General features: G+C 55.6%; 3 annotated features.

The window, feature by feature from the left end:
- Window positions 452–1186: an enhancer, noted in NCBI's record as "H3K4me1 hESC enhancer chr7:392059-392793 (GRCh37/hg19 assembly coordinates)". NCBI's record gives its function as "activates a minimal SCP1, AML or CMV promoter by ChIP-STARR-seq in naive H9 embryonic stem cells {active_cell/tissue: H9 hESC(naive)}" and the evidence as "EXISTENCE:reporter gene assay evidence [ECO:0000049][PMID:30033119]".
- Window positions 13153–13653: an enhancer, noted in NCBI's record as "H3K4me1 hESC enhancer chr7:404760-405260 (GRCh37/hg19 assembly coordinates)". NCBI's record gives its function as "activates a minimal SCP1, AML or CMV promoter by ChIP-STARR-seq in primed H9 embryonic stem cells {active_cell/tissue: H9 hESC(primed)}" and the evidence as "EXISTENCE:reporter gene assay evidence [ECO:0000049][PMID:30033119]".
- Window positions 14089–14304: a silencer, noted in NCBI's record as "fragment chr7:405696-405911 (GRCh37/hg19 assembly coordinates)". NCBI's record gives its function as "represses an EF-1alpha promoter that drives an FKBP-Casp9 reporter gene in an ReSE screen in HepG2 liver carcinoma cells {active_cell/tissue: HepG2}" and the evidence as "EXISTENCE:reporter gene assay evidence [ECO:0000049][PMID:32094911]".

A 15660-nucleotide genomic window follows, 5' to 3' on the forward strand; every position in this document is an offset into this window, starting at 1 on the left:
AAAAGTGATATCCTAGAGTCCTGCCCCACCCCCAGTATCTTCCAAACAGGACCTGTTGTCACCAAGTCCCGCTCCCAGCACCGCAGAGAGACCTTGAGCCTGTGCCTCGTGCCTCAGCGCAGTCCGCACCCAGCTCACTCCGTCCCCGGAGCCAGCGGCTCTGCCTTCCCATCGTCCTCTCTCCCTCCAGCAGCCGGGGCCACAGCCTTCAGAAGCACGTGAAAGCAATGCCCCCCGCTGCTCACACCCATTACGGGCTCCCTCTTCCTCCAGGGACGAGCGCCCCGTGGGCCTCCATCAGAGACCTGCTCCCGCCCAGGGTCTTGGCACCTCCGCCCTCCAGCCCGTCCCCAGATCTTGGCTTTGCTGCTTCTCGTCACGCAGGGTGTCCTTGCGTCTAAGTCAGCAGCCCCCTCCTGCCCGGCTCTCCCCACCCTCTTGCCTTGCTTTGGTTTCTTCTGTGTTTGATGTCAGCTGACTGATCTTGCTTCCCTCTCTGCCCGCCTGTCTGTGTCCGTCCCCGCCCCAGGAACTGGTGTGTCTGTGTCAGGAGTCGGTCCAGGCTCCGGCACCTGTGGGGTGCCCGCCGTGTGGCCTGCCTTCCACATGGATGACCGGTTGAAGGGGTGCGGCCTCCACCAGCTTGTCCAGGCTGCGGGCGTCCATGCTCTGTCACTCGGATCCCCCCTAGCTACAGCCGGGGCGTTGCAGGGCTGGGATCTGCTCTGGGAGACCTCTCTGTTCCCACGGCCCACCTGGATCCACCAAGGTCCACCATGGCCTGGCAGTGTCCAGTGAGCGAGGGCCACGATTCTGGGGACGGATGTCTCCCTGACTCCTCTCCCAGATCTCAGCCCTCTTACCCCATCCATCCTCTCTGGCTCGCAAAACACCCTCCAAGGTGAGGCCAAGCCGAGCTCATTCCTGGCCCCACCGGCCCTCCCTGGACGCCCTCCCTGGACGCCCTTGTTCTTTCAGAAAGTCCCGCCCCTCCCCAAACAAGGCACTCTGTCTCCGGACACTCCTTTTCCTCCACCCTACTACACCACACAACCTCACTCCTATTAGCCCTTGGCCCTGTACTCAGCTGAGGAAGTGCCGTGGGGTGCACACCACCTCCCCACCTCACTTCCTCCACCCAGTAGGGACCCCTGGCTCCATTTTACAGGTGAGAAAACAGGCTCTGAGACCTCGAGGAACCTTCCAACGGGCCACGTTCTCTGTCGATTGGCTCCAGTGCTTTAGAGGCCCAGGCCGATAGGATGCATTTTCTCTTCCGGTTTCCAGATTCAGTAGAAACGCCACAGCCCCAAGGCACCAGCTTGTGGGTTCTCGAGCCGTAGAGCCCTTGGTTCCAACAGACTTGCAAAGAGGAGGGGGCCCTTGGGAGGCCCTGATTGGGACACCGCTCACCACCCATTTATGGGGTCTTCAGGGGGTGGGGGCTGGGGCTCTGACGCCCCCGGCTTTCCTGTCCCTCTCTCTGCCCCCTGCTATGGCCCCTTGGGAAGCTCTGAGTGGGAACCATTCACCCACCCTTTTGCAGGGCCTGGAGGGCGGGGGCTGGGGCTCTCGGCTTTCCTGTCCCTCCTCTGCCCCCTGGTACGGCCCTTGGGAAGCTCTGAGTGGGAACCATTCACCTACCCTTTTGCGGGGTCTTCAGGGGGTGGGGGCTGGGGTTCTGATGCCCCCGGCTTTCCTGTTCCTCTCTCTGTGATCCCTGCTATGGCCCTTGGGAAGCCCTGAGTGGGGCACCACTCACCACCCATTTGCAGGGTCTGCAGGGGGTGGGGGGTGGGGCTCTGACGCCCCTGGCTTTCCTGTCCCTCTCTCTGCCCCCTGCTACGGCCCTTGGGAAGCTTTGAGTGGGGCACTGTTCGCCCACACATTTGTGGAGCCTGGAGGGTGGGAGCGGGGAGTCTGATGTCCCCGGCTTTCCTGTCCCTCTCTCTGCCCCCTGCTACGGCCCTTGGGAAGCTCTGAGTGGGGCACTGTTCGCCCACACATTTGTGGAGCCTGGAGGGTGGGAGCGGGGGGTCTGATGTCCCCGGCTTTCTTGTCCCTCTCTCTGCCCCCCGCTACCGTGTCACCGGCCCCAGTGTCCGCAGAATCTGGGCGATTCCGAATTATGCAACGGCAACCGGGAGGCGAAGGGGATGGGGTACAGGGACACTGGGCGGGCAGGCCAGCTGCTCACAATTCAGGTCTCGCCCAGAGGATGTGGGCGCAGCGCCCAGAGGGGAAGCCCTTTAGGACCAGCGCCTGCCGTCCGGCATGCTCCGGGAACATTCCTTCCAGGCTGGATGTGCGTTGCCAGGGAGTGAGATGCCAGGAGGGAGTGTCATCACCACAGTCGGCCACCACAGGATGTGCCCAAGTCTGGCAGGGTCCCCAGGCTCACCAGACCCATTGAGGGCTCCAGGGAAGGGGCTGCAGGGGCGGCCAGTGCGGGGGCAGCCTGGGCGCTGGAGACGGAGGCCTGGGGCCGGGTCCTGTCCTTCACTCCGTAGCAGGACGGCCTTGGACAAGTCCCACATCACCTCCTCAGGCCCACGTGAGACCCTCAGCACCACAGCGTGTACACCGTACGTGCAAAAAGAGGGTAGTCTGTCTTCAAGAAGCATGGCCTTGTGCCACCCATGCCCATCGGGGGTGAAATGACGTCTTGTCCAGGGGAAGTCTTGACACCCCACTTCTCTCCAGAGAAGAGTCAAATTCCAAGCTCTGTCAACAGCTCTAGAAAGGGGGCCTTTGGGGGCTCCAGGGGTCCAGGCCTGGGAAAGAGACTCCTGGCCCGTGTGTGGCCTCATCGAGGAGGACGTTGCTAGTGCTTGTGGATGAAGTCGTGAGCTCACTGGAAGGGGTGTCATCCCTTGTCTCCCAGGAAACGGATGTTCTGGGAAACATAAAAATCAGTGGCAGCGTGTGTTCCACAGCAGAAAATCGAGCCTGAGCCAGGAGGGCCTTTGGGGTTCCAGGCGGACATGTCCTGCTGTCTCACTAGTCAGGCCCGAAGGAAAAGGGCCAGCCCGAGGTGGCAAAACTACACCCCAGTGGGGCCGAGGCCTCAGGATTTATGATGATCCAACATCACCGCTGCACCCTCCCAGCACCACTGACGAGCCCACGGGGCCAGCCCGGGGTGGAGATCCAACACTGTGTCCACTGCCTGGGCCCACAGCCCCTGCCCCGTACACCTGTGAGACCCTGCTGCCTACAGGCCCTAGTTCTTCCAAAGCGTCTCTGGGGAGCATCCTGATGGGTTCCCGGATGGGTCCTTTGCCCTCAGTGGCAGCGGGCAGACGTCACAGCTGCCCCTGTGCCAGGGGTCTCTGGGGGCTACTGCATCCGTCACAGCTCTGCCTGCCTCATGGGCTGTCCTCAGCCCTTGGGGGCCACAGCTGTGCCGACCCCCTTCGCAGTCAGCCTTGCCCTCGGTCTCCTGGGGCCTGAGGCAGAGCCCATGGGCCTCGGGCCTCTCACACTTCCAGCAGCTTCCTCTGCAGCCCATGTCCTCTCCACAGCAGTCAGGCCTGGGTTGGGGTGGGCCGTCCTGTCCTCCATTTACAGAACACAGTGGTCGAGAACACGGGCTCTGGAACGAGTTGACTGGGCCATGTGCCAGCTCCTGGCTTACTCACTCTGAGCACAGAGCCCCGAGTCGGGTTCTCATCATCAACATCCCCCTGTGCATAGGGACTGTCTGGCTCAGGGGGTGTCCAACTCTGGAATCACCTGGGGATGCTTAGCAAGCTCTGTGCCTGGCTCCCACCTCAGGCACTCTGACTTAGTTGGTATGGGACTGAGTTAGCACTGGAATTTTAAAAACTCTCCAGGTGGTTCATTGGTTCAGCAAAGTTTGGGAACCACTGACCTAACTCACAGAGTGGCTGTGAGGGGTAAATAAGATGACATATGCAAAATACATAGTGTCAAGCCTGGCTGCAGACTGGACTCGGTGGATGGCCAGTATCGTTATTGTCATTTTTAGTATCACCACCACCAGCACCACCAGCACCACCATTATCACCGTAACCACCATCATTACCACCATCACTGTTATCATCATCATCACCATCTTCATCATCACCATCATCATTGTGACCATCATCCTTACCACCATCATCATCATCACCATTATCATCATCACAACCGCCATCCACACTGTCATCACAATCACCATCAATATCACCATCACCACCATCACCAGCATCACCATCACCATCATCACCATCGTCATCACCATCATCACCATCACCACTATCACCACCATCACCATCACCACCATCACTATCATCATCACCACCATCACCATCATCATCATCACCATCACCATCATCATCATCATCATCATCATCATCACCATCATCATCATCATCATCATCATCATCACCACCACCATCACCACCATCACCATCACCATCATCACCATCACCATCACCACCATCACCATCACCACCATCAGCATCACCACCATCAGCATCACCACCATCAGCATCACCACCATCACCATCACTGTCATCACTTCTGGATTGCTCTTTCTATATTTTCATCGGAAACTGATGCATAAAATTCTTCGTTCTTTTTCCAGCCAGAAAGCTTATCTATATCCACTGCAAGTGTAGGCAGGTTGCAGGGGAGTTACTATCCTCTGAGTCAGTGTTGGCTTACATATACTTGGGACTGCTGGTTACTTCCACGTTTTAAATTTCTAAGGAGCTTCTCGTTTAAACCTCACTGTAGCCTTGGCATGTGGGCAGTTTTTGCTATCCCATTTTACAGATGAGAAAACAGAGGTTCAGGAAAGTTAGTTGATGTGTCCACGGTCCCACTGCCACCTAATGGTAGATCTGGGATCTAAATCCAGGTGTCTAATCTCAAAACACTTGCAAATTAATTGTCGCCTAGAGTCTGGGGCATGGGCTGACCTCCTGAGACTCTGGTGTCCCGGTGTTACCCTCAATGCCTTTGTTCCTCCTGCAGATGCCTCCCCTTCTGCTTGGATCACAGGAGGCCTTGAGAAAAGGCTTCCAAGGGCTTTGGGTCAGCAGAGCGGAGGAATGAGGCTTCCACGGCGCACTCTGTGCCAGGCCCCCAGCCCACCCCTGACCGCTCTGCCGGGATGTCAGGCAGGGCTGGGCTGTGTCTGGCTCAGGCAGCCGAGGGACACGGCACAGATCGGTCCCTCCTCTCTCCCCAGGGAGGCCTCCCTCTTCAGGCTCTCTCCAGCCTCACCTGCCTCATCTGTGCCCAGGGGCTTTGGCGGGCAGGGAGGATGCTCTGACCCTAGGAAGCCCTGCAGCAGGGAGGGGAAGGGGGTTGACAGACAGCGTCCGGAGCAGGCTGCTGCTGCGGGAACAGGGGAACCCTCAGACCAGAAAGACCTCAGCTCAGGCTCCAGCACGGGCCTCTGCCCCCCTTGGATGGAGGCTGCTCCCCGTGCCAGCTGCTGGGCACTCAGAGCCTGTCCCCAGCCTGGGCCAAGCAGTGCCGAGGGCCAGAGAAAGCCTTTGGATGACGAGTCCTTGAGGTTGTGTCCACAGCAATGGCAGCCCTGGGAAGCCGGTGGGGATGCAGTGGGCTCTGTGCTCGCCTCCTGAGAGGCACGGGGCTGAGGACCTGTGAGCGGGTGGGGATGCAGTGGGCCCTGTGCTTGCCTCCTGAGAGGCACGGGGCTGAGGACCTGTGAGGGATCCGGGAGGGGAGGTGCACAGGGCCTGGCAGTCTGACAGGGAGGGAGTGTTTTTCTTGCTGCGCTTTTTGAGGGAGAGAGGAAAGGAGAAGGGAGAGCACGCTGCCCCAGGACCTGTGACTGTGGGAAGCAAATGGTGTCTAACGTGCACGAACTGCTCCCTGGCACTCCAGGGAAGGGAATTTTCCCAAATCAAACTAGATCTGCTTCCCACCATTGGCTCTCCCCCAGGGATGATAAGTTCAAGTTAGAAGCTCTCAGCCCCGTCCTGCCCTGCGGGTGGGGCCCTGGGGCTCTGCAGGAGGCAACCCCACTGCCCTGACCCCAGGAGCCCTGGGAGCTGTGAGATGTCCCCTCCGCAGCCCAATCACTCAGCCAAGTGAGCTGGCTGTGCTCGCCGCCCAGGCCTTGGTGTCTGCACCATCTCCAGCCCCTTTCCTGCCCACCCACCCTGGGACCCTGCTTGGAGACAGGGCCGTGAAGCGGCTCTCCTCACATTCCCACATTAGCAAGCATCTACAGCCCCGACTCCATAGAGGCACAATGGTCTCCACTCCTGCCCCTTCCAAGAGGAGAGCAATGCTTAGCTTCTCTTCACGCCTGCTTACCCGCTTCTGGGAATAAGGCAGGCCTTGAGAACAAAGGCCTTCCTGTGAGACTCTGGAACGGTGACTGAAACAACAACAAAAAAGCCATCAATCTATCAACTTCACAAAGATAGTTTTGGCATGATGTACCTTGTAACTCCTGTTCTCCTGCTCTGTAAGAATCTTTGTCAATTTTTGTGATAGTCCGACTCCACAGTGGGCCTCAACAATCATGGCCTCCTGGTGTTCACACACTTAGCTGACCCCATGGCAGCTCATGACAGCCATTGCAAGGCCAGGCACGGTGGCTCAAGCCTGCAATTCCAGCACTTTCGGAGGCTGAGGCAGGAGGCTTGCTTGAGGCCAGGCATTCAATAACAGCTTGGGCAACACAGTGAGACCCTATCTCTACAACAAATTTTAAAAATTAGCTGGATGTGGTGCTGGACGCCTGTAGTCCCAGCCACTCAGGAGGTGGGAGGATGGTTAGAACCCAGAGTTTGAGCCTGCAGTGAGCTGTGATCACACCACTGCACTCCAGCCTGGGCAACAGAGCAAGACCCTGTCTCAAAAACAAAGTCACTGCAGCTTAGTCTCTTGGATTGCTCATTCTGTAGAGGCTGGCAGCCATGTTGTAAGGAGGCTCAAGCAGCTCTGAGGAGACCCCCCCCCCCCCATGGGGAGGAGCCACCCTTCCAGCCACATGCAGGAGCCACCTTGGAAGGGGCTCCTCCAGCCCAGCAGACTTTCAGCTGACAGCAGACTCATGAGACCCTAAGGCTGAGCCACTCTCAAGTTCATGACCCATAGAAGCCATGAGAGATGATAAATTATTATTATCCTTTGAAGCCATTAAGTTTTGGGGTGATCTGTGACACAGCAACAGATAACACACTTTTCAACAGTTCTGGAGTTTGCATTATGGAGCTTTTTCAGGGGTCACTGTGGTAAAGTATGAGGCCTTAAGGTTCAAGGTGGACCCCAGTGTCAAAGAGAGGCCCCAAGAGAAGAGGGGTTCCCTTCTCTCTGTCCCCTGCCCTTCGGGAGCCCCCTCCACACATGCCCCCACAGGCCCACGCACCCCAAGCTGTGCCTGGGGAAATAGGTCAGGCCTCCAGCCCAGACCCCTGCAGGTTTCTGCTCCAGAGGAGCTCTTCGAGGGGTTTCCTTGACCACCCCTCCATTAAAAACCGGGTGTCTGGAAAAGTCTTTTGCAGGGAGGACCCTGGGCATTGTCCTCGAGCCACGTTCTAGGGAGGCTGCGGGTGTCCCTGCCTGGGGATGTGGGTTCCTGCTTTGCCAATCCCGCATCCTTGGCCATTTATCCCATTGTGTTGCCAGCCTGTAGGGAGGAGAGAGACAGAGAAGATCCTGTTTCTCCTGCTCATATCAGAGGCTGGCAGGCCTAGAAGGGGCTGAGGGATGGAGCACGACCCTCAACCTGTACAGACAACGGCCCAGAAAGGCTGTGGAATCTGCCCGGGGCCACCCAGCAGGCAGGCAGTGGTGTGGCGGCCCGAGTCCCTCCTCCGAGCCCAGCCTCTGCCCCCGACCCAGGTTCCTCCCAAAGGGTGTTTTCTCACAGACGTCTCAGAGCTATTTTTTCTCTGAAAGCTAAACAATCACTCCTTTGCTCTTAGGATGAGATGCGGTTTGTGTCTACACACAGCAGACCCGGCTGCCCTGGTCCCCAGGCCGCCACCATCTGGCCGTGCACACACTCGCCTGGTCCTGGCCGGACCAGAGGGCGTCTGCACAGGTACAAGGTGGCGGGTGGAGCCCAGGACCCCTGGACAGCCAGGCCATCCCGGGGCTTGGCCGGAAACCAGGATGGCCTGGCCTGTTTTCCTGGCACCTCCTGCACCAGGGCCGTGGCTGCCTGCAGGTGGGGGCCCTCCTCCCAGGTGGTCTGGGGAAGGCGCCCAGTGAGTGGGGCCGAAGCCGCTTCCTGGGGAGGGTTGCTTCACCGCAGAGCCCAGCTGGGCACCCAGAAGTGGCTCAGGGCTGTGTGTTTACTCCTACCCTGACCACCGGCGAAAGGGATTTGAGGGCTGGCTCGTCTGTGGCAGCCACCAAAGTCAATGGAAAAACCACACGGGAGGAAGGGAGGGATGTGGGGTGTTTGAGCTGCAGGAGGGGCATCCCCAGGACGCACGCTGGGGCCACATCTGGGCGGAAGCAGGTGTACCAGCCCAGCCAGGGCAGGGCAGAGCCCCAGGGGCGGGTGGGGGCCACAAGCAGCCCAATCCAGCTCCAAGTAGAATCAATTCCTTTCTGTTGAAAGTTCCGTTTCTAAGAGTGATCGTGTTCCCAGCAGAGTGAACACAGACGTCGGTGTCGGCTCTGCACAACGGCGGTGCGGGGGCCCCGTAAGCACTCCAGGAGGACGCCGAGTGAGCCCTCCCCTCTCACACCCGACCCTCCTCTCTCAGAAGCCACTGCTCTGGTGTGTGGCGGCCGCTGCCTTGCCTTTTCCCATGCAGTTTTGCCATAGACTATTTAGCTTTGTTTCTTAACTCCCAAAACACAAAACTGAACCCCCAGCGATGGCCTGTGCCCCATTCCCCAGTGCACAACGCAAGCCTCCTTCCCGCCAGCGCCAGCACGTCGCCCCGCGGTGCTCCCCGGTGTGAAAGGGCTGAGCCATCCCTCTGCTGTGACTGGCTTCCGGCGGTTTCCAGCGTCTTGCTTTCTGAGCAACGCTGCCGTGAACATCCCACAAACTCCTTGAGTCTGCCATGCACGTCTTTAGAGATAGGTGGAGAGTCGTGCCGGCCCCACGCGGGCAGCCCAGCAGCTCCGGGTGTTGGTGCCACCGGGCACTGTCTGGCCAAGGGTCCCCTTGCTCCGTCCTCGCCAGCCCTGGGTAGGGCCAGGCTTTTTAAGTTTTGCGGATCTGCTGGTGCGTAAGGGTCCTTCGTGGTGATCTCAATTTGCGTTTTCCTGATTGCGAAGGAGCCGAGCGTTGGTCACGCCTGGGAAGCTGTTCAGTGACTCCGTGTGCCCATCTTCCGCCGTCGGGGGCTTTGCTTGTCGACGCCTGTTGACGTTTTTAAATCTTCTGGGCCTCCCTTTTTTGGTCAAATATATATATGGCACATGTCCTGCTTCGGGCTTGTCTTTTCACTCCTTTTATGGTAGATTTTAATGTAACAGAATGTCTTTATTTTAATGTTTTAGAATTTACCAATCTTTGCCTTTATGACGAATAATTTTGTAGATTGTTTCACAAATCCATCCCTAATTCAAAGTCATGAAAACAGCCCTTTAAATCCTCTTCTAAAACCATGACGGGGTTTATTTACATTTAGGAATTTAATCCATGCAGGTCTGCCTTTAGTGGTGTGGAGAGGGACAGCACTCTCTGCTTTCTGTATGTGGGCGTCCGGTTGTCCCAAAGCCACGCTCCCACTCACGCCGCTGCCTCCCTGTCCCGACTCCCTCCCACTCACGCCTCAGCCTCCCTGTCCCGACTCCCTCCCACTCACGCCTCAGCCTCCCTGTCCTGACTCCCTCCCACTCACGCCTCAGCCTCCCTGTCCCGACTCCCTCCCACTCACGCCGCTGCCTCCCTGTCCCGACTCCCTCCCACTCACGCCTCAGCCTCCCTGTCCCGACTCCCTCCCACTCACGCCGCTGCCTCCCTGTCCCGACTCCCTCCCACTCACGCCGCTGCCTCCCTGTCCCGACTCCCTCCCACTCACGCCTCAGCCTCCCTGTCCCGACTCCCTCCCACTCACGCCGCTGCCTCCCTGTCCCGACTCCCTCCCACTCACGCCTCAGCCTCCCTGTCCCGACTCCCTCCCACTCACGCCGCTGCCTCCCTGTCCCGACTCCCTCCCACTCACGCCTCAGCCTCCCTGTCCCGACTCCCTCCCACTCACGCCTCCGCCTCCCTGTCCGGACTCCCTCCCACTCACGCCTCAGCCTCCCTGTCCTGACTCCCTCCCACTCACGCCTCAGCCTCCCTGTCCTGACTCCCTCCCACTCACGCCGCTGCCTCCCTGTCCCGACTCCATGCTGTGTGGACTACTGTTCTGTCCCCACCTCAGCATCACCTTGTCACAAATGTTATGACTTTTTAATAAGCCTCAATACAGACATCCCCAGTTCCTGCCCTGATCTCTGCCCTTCGAGAGTGATTTAGCTATTCCCAGTTCTTTGACTTTCAACATAAATTGTAGAGTCAGTTTTCCATGAACCACCACAAACAATTGCAGAAGTCTGGCTATGGAGTACGTGAGATGCCTGAATTCCTTTGGGGAGAGTTGACATCTTTGTAACTTGGGACTTCTCGGTTCATGAATACAGTTATTTAAGGAACCATTCACTTGAGTCTTCTCAAATGTCTCTCAGCCATGTTTTTTTACATCAGCTTCCTCTATAAAAATCTTACACATTGTTTGTTCTTCCTAGTATTTAATAGGCTCAGGCTTTTGTAAATGACATCTTTTCTAAATTTCACTTTGTCTCTGGCATATGAAGAAAAACAGCTGATTTTTGTGTATATTGATTTTGTCTCCAGCAAACTGCCCAGCTGTCTTACTGATTTCATAATTTACCCTGGTGCTGTTCAGCTCTTCGAACACACATAACCGTATCCTCCGTGACTGTCAGAAGTTGTATTTCTTCCTTTCCGATCTCGTTAGCTTTCATTTCCTTTTCCTGCCTTGGCCCGGACCTGCGGAAGGACGCTGGTGAAATGGTGCTGGAACGCACCGCCCCTTGGTCCCGATATCAAAGCAAAAGCTTCCGGGGGTGCTTCTGCTGTGGGTGTTTGCACATTTATCAGGTTAGGGAGGCGCTGCTGTTCCTACTTGAAGTATCTTTTTCCTGAAAGGACGTTGACTTTTATCAAACATTCTTTTCTCATTTGTTGAAATGACTGTAAGATTTTTCCCTTAAACCTGTTGGTGTGGAGGATTCTATTCATTGCCATTGTGACACTGAACCACTTCTAGTCCTGGGATAGACACGGCAGCCACGAGGTGCGATCCCGTCCACGCGCTCAGCCGTTGAGCCTCACTGCCATGTTTTAGGAGCTGTTATCTCCCTTCTGTGTCAAGGGCCTCTCGCCCCCTGAGATGGGATGGAGAATGCTTGCTTCACTGCTGTTCTCTTGACGGGTTAAAGATAGTGTTATTTGTTTCTTGAATATATTGATAAACATCACCAGCGAGGGCATTTGAACCTGGAATTTGTTTTGTTTTGAGACAGGGTCTGGCTCTGTCACCCAGGCTGGAGTGCAGTGGTGCAATCACAGCGCACTGCAAGCTCTGACCTTCCAGGCTCAGGTGATCGTCCCACTTCAGCCTCCCGAGTAGCTAGGACTACAGGCATGCACCACCACATCCAACTAATTTTTAAAATGTTCTGTAGAGACATGGTCTCACTATGTTGCCGACACTGGTCTGAAACTCCTGGGCTCAAGAGATGCCCCTGTTTTGGCGTCCTGAGTAGCTGGGATTACAGATGCATGCCACTGCACCCAGCTACATTTTGCATTTTGTAGAGACAGGGTCTCACTATGTGGCACAGGCTGGGCTCGATCTCCTGGCCTCAAATGATCCTCCTGCTTTGGCTTCCCGAAGTGCTGGGATCATAGGCATGAGCCACTGCACTCAGCCAGGCTGCCCCCTTTCCTTAGTGGGAAGACTCTCATGCATTGCTGGCAAGGGAGCAGCTGATGCATGCTCTTCGAGTAACGGTTCTGTAACATCCACTCAGGCTCCGAAGCCACGTGCGACTGCCCAGCAGGCCCCTGGGACACACCAGAGGCTGAGTTCATGCACCTGCCCAGGACACGCACGAGCACCCACGTCTGCAATACTGGTGACCGCAAGAAGCTGGAGACCATGCAAACGCGGATCTGCAGGGGAGCAGGTCAGGGGACAGAACACGCCCGGATGGGCCTCGTGGCATGACATGGAGGGAAAGAAGCCGGAAGCAAAAGAGTGCACATAGGAGATTTCAGTTGAGCAGCCGGCAAGCCTGGGACGCGGGGGGCCCTGAGAGTCAGGCCCACAGCTACGCAAAAGCCGCGCTGACAGGAAGTGCAGGAGGCAGCCTGTGGCATCCTGAGAAGGTTCTGTGTCTTGTAAAAAAAATTCTCTGATCTGGGCTGGGCGCGGTGGCTCACGCCTGTAATCCCAGCACTTTGGGAGGCCGAGGCAGGTAGATCACGAGGTCAGGAGTTCAAGACCAGCCTGACCAAGATGGTGAAACCCCGTCTCTACTAAAAATACAAAAAGTAGCCGGGCGTGGTGGCAGGTGCCTGTAATCCCAGCTACTGGGGAGGCTGAGGAAGAGAATTGCTTGAACCCGGGAGGCGGAGCTTGCAGTGAGCCAAGATCACACCACGACACTCCACCCTGAGCGACAGAGCGAGACTCCGTATCAAAAAAAACAAAAAAAATCATTGATCCAAGCACTTAATATTAGCACACGTCACATCATACCCTGTGTGTTATACGGCAATAAAAAGAACAGACACGATACAACTACGTTGCAGAGATGCCCCCTCCCCACTGTCACCACTGCTGGATGTTGGCTGTTCTCTCTGGATTCTGTTCCTTGACAAGCCTGTGTGTGGGGTGCAAGGCCAGCGCCCACAACAGCTTCAGATCCTCTTAGGCCTCGACATGTCACAGGTAATTTTCTGATTCGCACAGGGCTGTGACACCACCAAAGTCAGGTCACGTGCATCCTTCACTCAGGGTCTTTCTGGTGAGCTGTTCCAAGTCAATCACCACACTCAAAGCTGGACACGTATGACCTCCCTCCACCTCTTCGGAGGTCCGAAAGGATCATACACCCATTTCACAGATGAGGCCACCGAGGCTTCCAGGCAAGCCACTCACCCCGGGCCAAGAAGAGAAACGTCTGGGCCTCCTCCTGCCGACTCAGCCCCTCTGACCCCAGCAGTCCTTAGAGAACCAGGACTCAGCCCCTCTGACCCCAGCAGTCCTTACAGAACCACGACTCAGCCCCTCTGACCCCAGCAGTCCTTAGAGAACCACACGGATCCTTGAGGCGATGCCTCCTGAGCTGTACATCAGCTGGGCTACTGGCTTTATCGCCCACTCCCTGCACTTTCTGTTTCTGCAGAGGGTCTCTGCTTGTCCTTCGCTTCTTTACTTACTGGGATCTCAGTGTTGTTGCTTTTTGTTGTTGTTTTTGTTTTGTTTTTTTGAGACAGAGTCTCGCTCTGTTGCCCAGGCTGGAGGGCAGTGGTGTGATCTCGGCTCACTGCAACCCCCACCTCCTGGGTTCAAGCAATTCTCCTGCCTCAGCCTCCTGAGTAGCTGGGACTACAGGCACCCGCCACCACGCCCGGCTAATTTTGCATTTTTTTAGTAGGGACGGGGTTTCTCCACATTGGCCAGGCTGGTCTCGAACTCCTGACCTCAGGTGATCTGCCCGCCTCGGCCTCCCACAGTGCTGGGATCACAGGCGTGAGCCACCTGCGCCTGGCCAGCGTTGTTGTTTATCATCATCAATTTGCATATGTCTGCATGTCATTAAAATGCTAATTCCTTGCCATGGTTGTTGCAAATGTGGCACCCATTTAACTTGCCTTTTACCTTGATACACAAAAGCTTTGAATTTCCACTTAGATAGATGTTTATCGGAACATACTAAGTTCAGAAAAAAAATCCACAGGTGCCGAAGTGAGGCTCCCATTCACTTCTGTGTAATCCTTACTCTTCCGCACCTCGACGGCTTCGAGGCCAGCTCTGACGCTTGTTGGTGCCAGGGCTTGTGAGTCTCACTCTCTATGAGCCTCAGTTCTCTCATCTGAAAAATGGGCACGAATTCCCCGACACTGCTGGTTGTTTCAGGATCCCCTGAGATAAAGTGTGCAAGGCGGTGCCGTCCTCATGCAGGCCCTCCGCCGGCCGGGGAGCGGCTGGGGACCACGTCAGCGTGTGGGTTTTTGGGATGACAATGAAACAACTGCGCGTGTGTGTGGCATCGAGACCGATGTTGGGACTCGTGGATGCAAAGCGTAGTGATCAAATCAGGGAGATGGGCGAATCCAGCCCCACTGACATCATCCTTTCTTCCCGTTGTGAACATTCAAAGTCCTCCCTTCTAGCTTCAAAAATACACAATAAATTATCGTTAACTGGAGTCACCCTCCAGTCCCACAGAACCCTCAAATCCATTCCTCTGGTCTCACTGTAATTTTGCATTCATTAGCCAAGGTCTCCCCCACCATCCCCCTCCCAGCCTCTCATAGCACAGCGCTCCTCTCTAGGAGCTCAACGCTTTTAGCTCCCACACATGAGTGAGGACCTGCGGTATTTCTCTTCCTGTGCCTGATTTATTGTATGTGGCAGAATGTCCTCGGGGCTCCTCCGTGTTGCCTGGAATGACAGGATTTCACTCTCTCGTATGGCTGAATCGTAGCTGTACTGTGTGCATAGATCACATTCCCCTAACCCCTTCCTCTGCTGATGGACATGCGTTTATTCCACATCCTGGTTGCTGGGACTCGCGCTGCAATGAACAGAGGGAGCAGATCACTCATTTCTGTGCCGATTTCCTTTCTCTCGGACAAACACCCGGTCCCGGGACTGCTGGATCACGCGGTCATTCTGTGTTTAGCTTTTTGAGGAAGCTCCATACTGTTTTTCACCGCGGCTGTTACTAGTTTACATCCCCCCATCTGTGTGTGACAGCTCCCCTTTCTCCACATCCTCACCAGCATGGTTTTTTGTTTTGTTTTGTTTTTTGTTTTTTGTTTGTCTTTTTGGTAATAGCAATTCTAACTGGGACAAAATAGTATCTCACTGTGGTTTGGATTTGCATTTCCCCAATGATTAGTCATGCTGAGCATTTTTTCATATACTGTCTCTCAGCATATACAAAAACCCACTCAAAATAGGTTGCAGACTGAAATGTAAAACCCAAAACAATAAAACTATGAGAAGAAAAACATAAGGAAGACACTGCAGAACATTGTTCTGGGGAAAGATTTTATGGCCAAGACTTCAAAATCACCAGCAATAAAAACAAAAATAGACAAACGGGGCTACATCAAACTAAGATGCTTCTGCAAAAGGCCAAGGAAACAGTCGGCAGAGGGAAGAGGCAGCCACAGAAGGGGAGAAAATATTTGCAAACTATTCATCTGACAAGGGACACATATCCAGAATCTACAAAGAACTCAAGCAATTCAACAGGAAAACACACACACACACACACACACACACACACAAGTAACTTGACTGAAAAGCAGGCAAAGGATTTAAATAGACATTTCTCAAAAGAAGACACACAGATCACCCTGACATTTAAAAAAATTCCTGGACCTCACCCAGCCAGGTTCTCCAATGTGAGCACCTTCAGAGTCACCGGCAGGGCTTGAGAAGGCCC

This window comes from Homo sapiens, chromosome 7, assembly GCF_000001405.40.
Source record: "Homo sapiens chromosome 7, GRCh38.p14 Primary Assembly".
In the NCBI taxonomy this organism is placed as follows: Eukaryota; Metazoa; Chordata; class Mammalia; order Primates; family Hominidae; genus Homo; species Homo sapiens.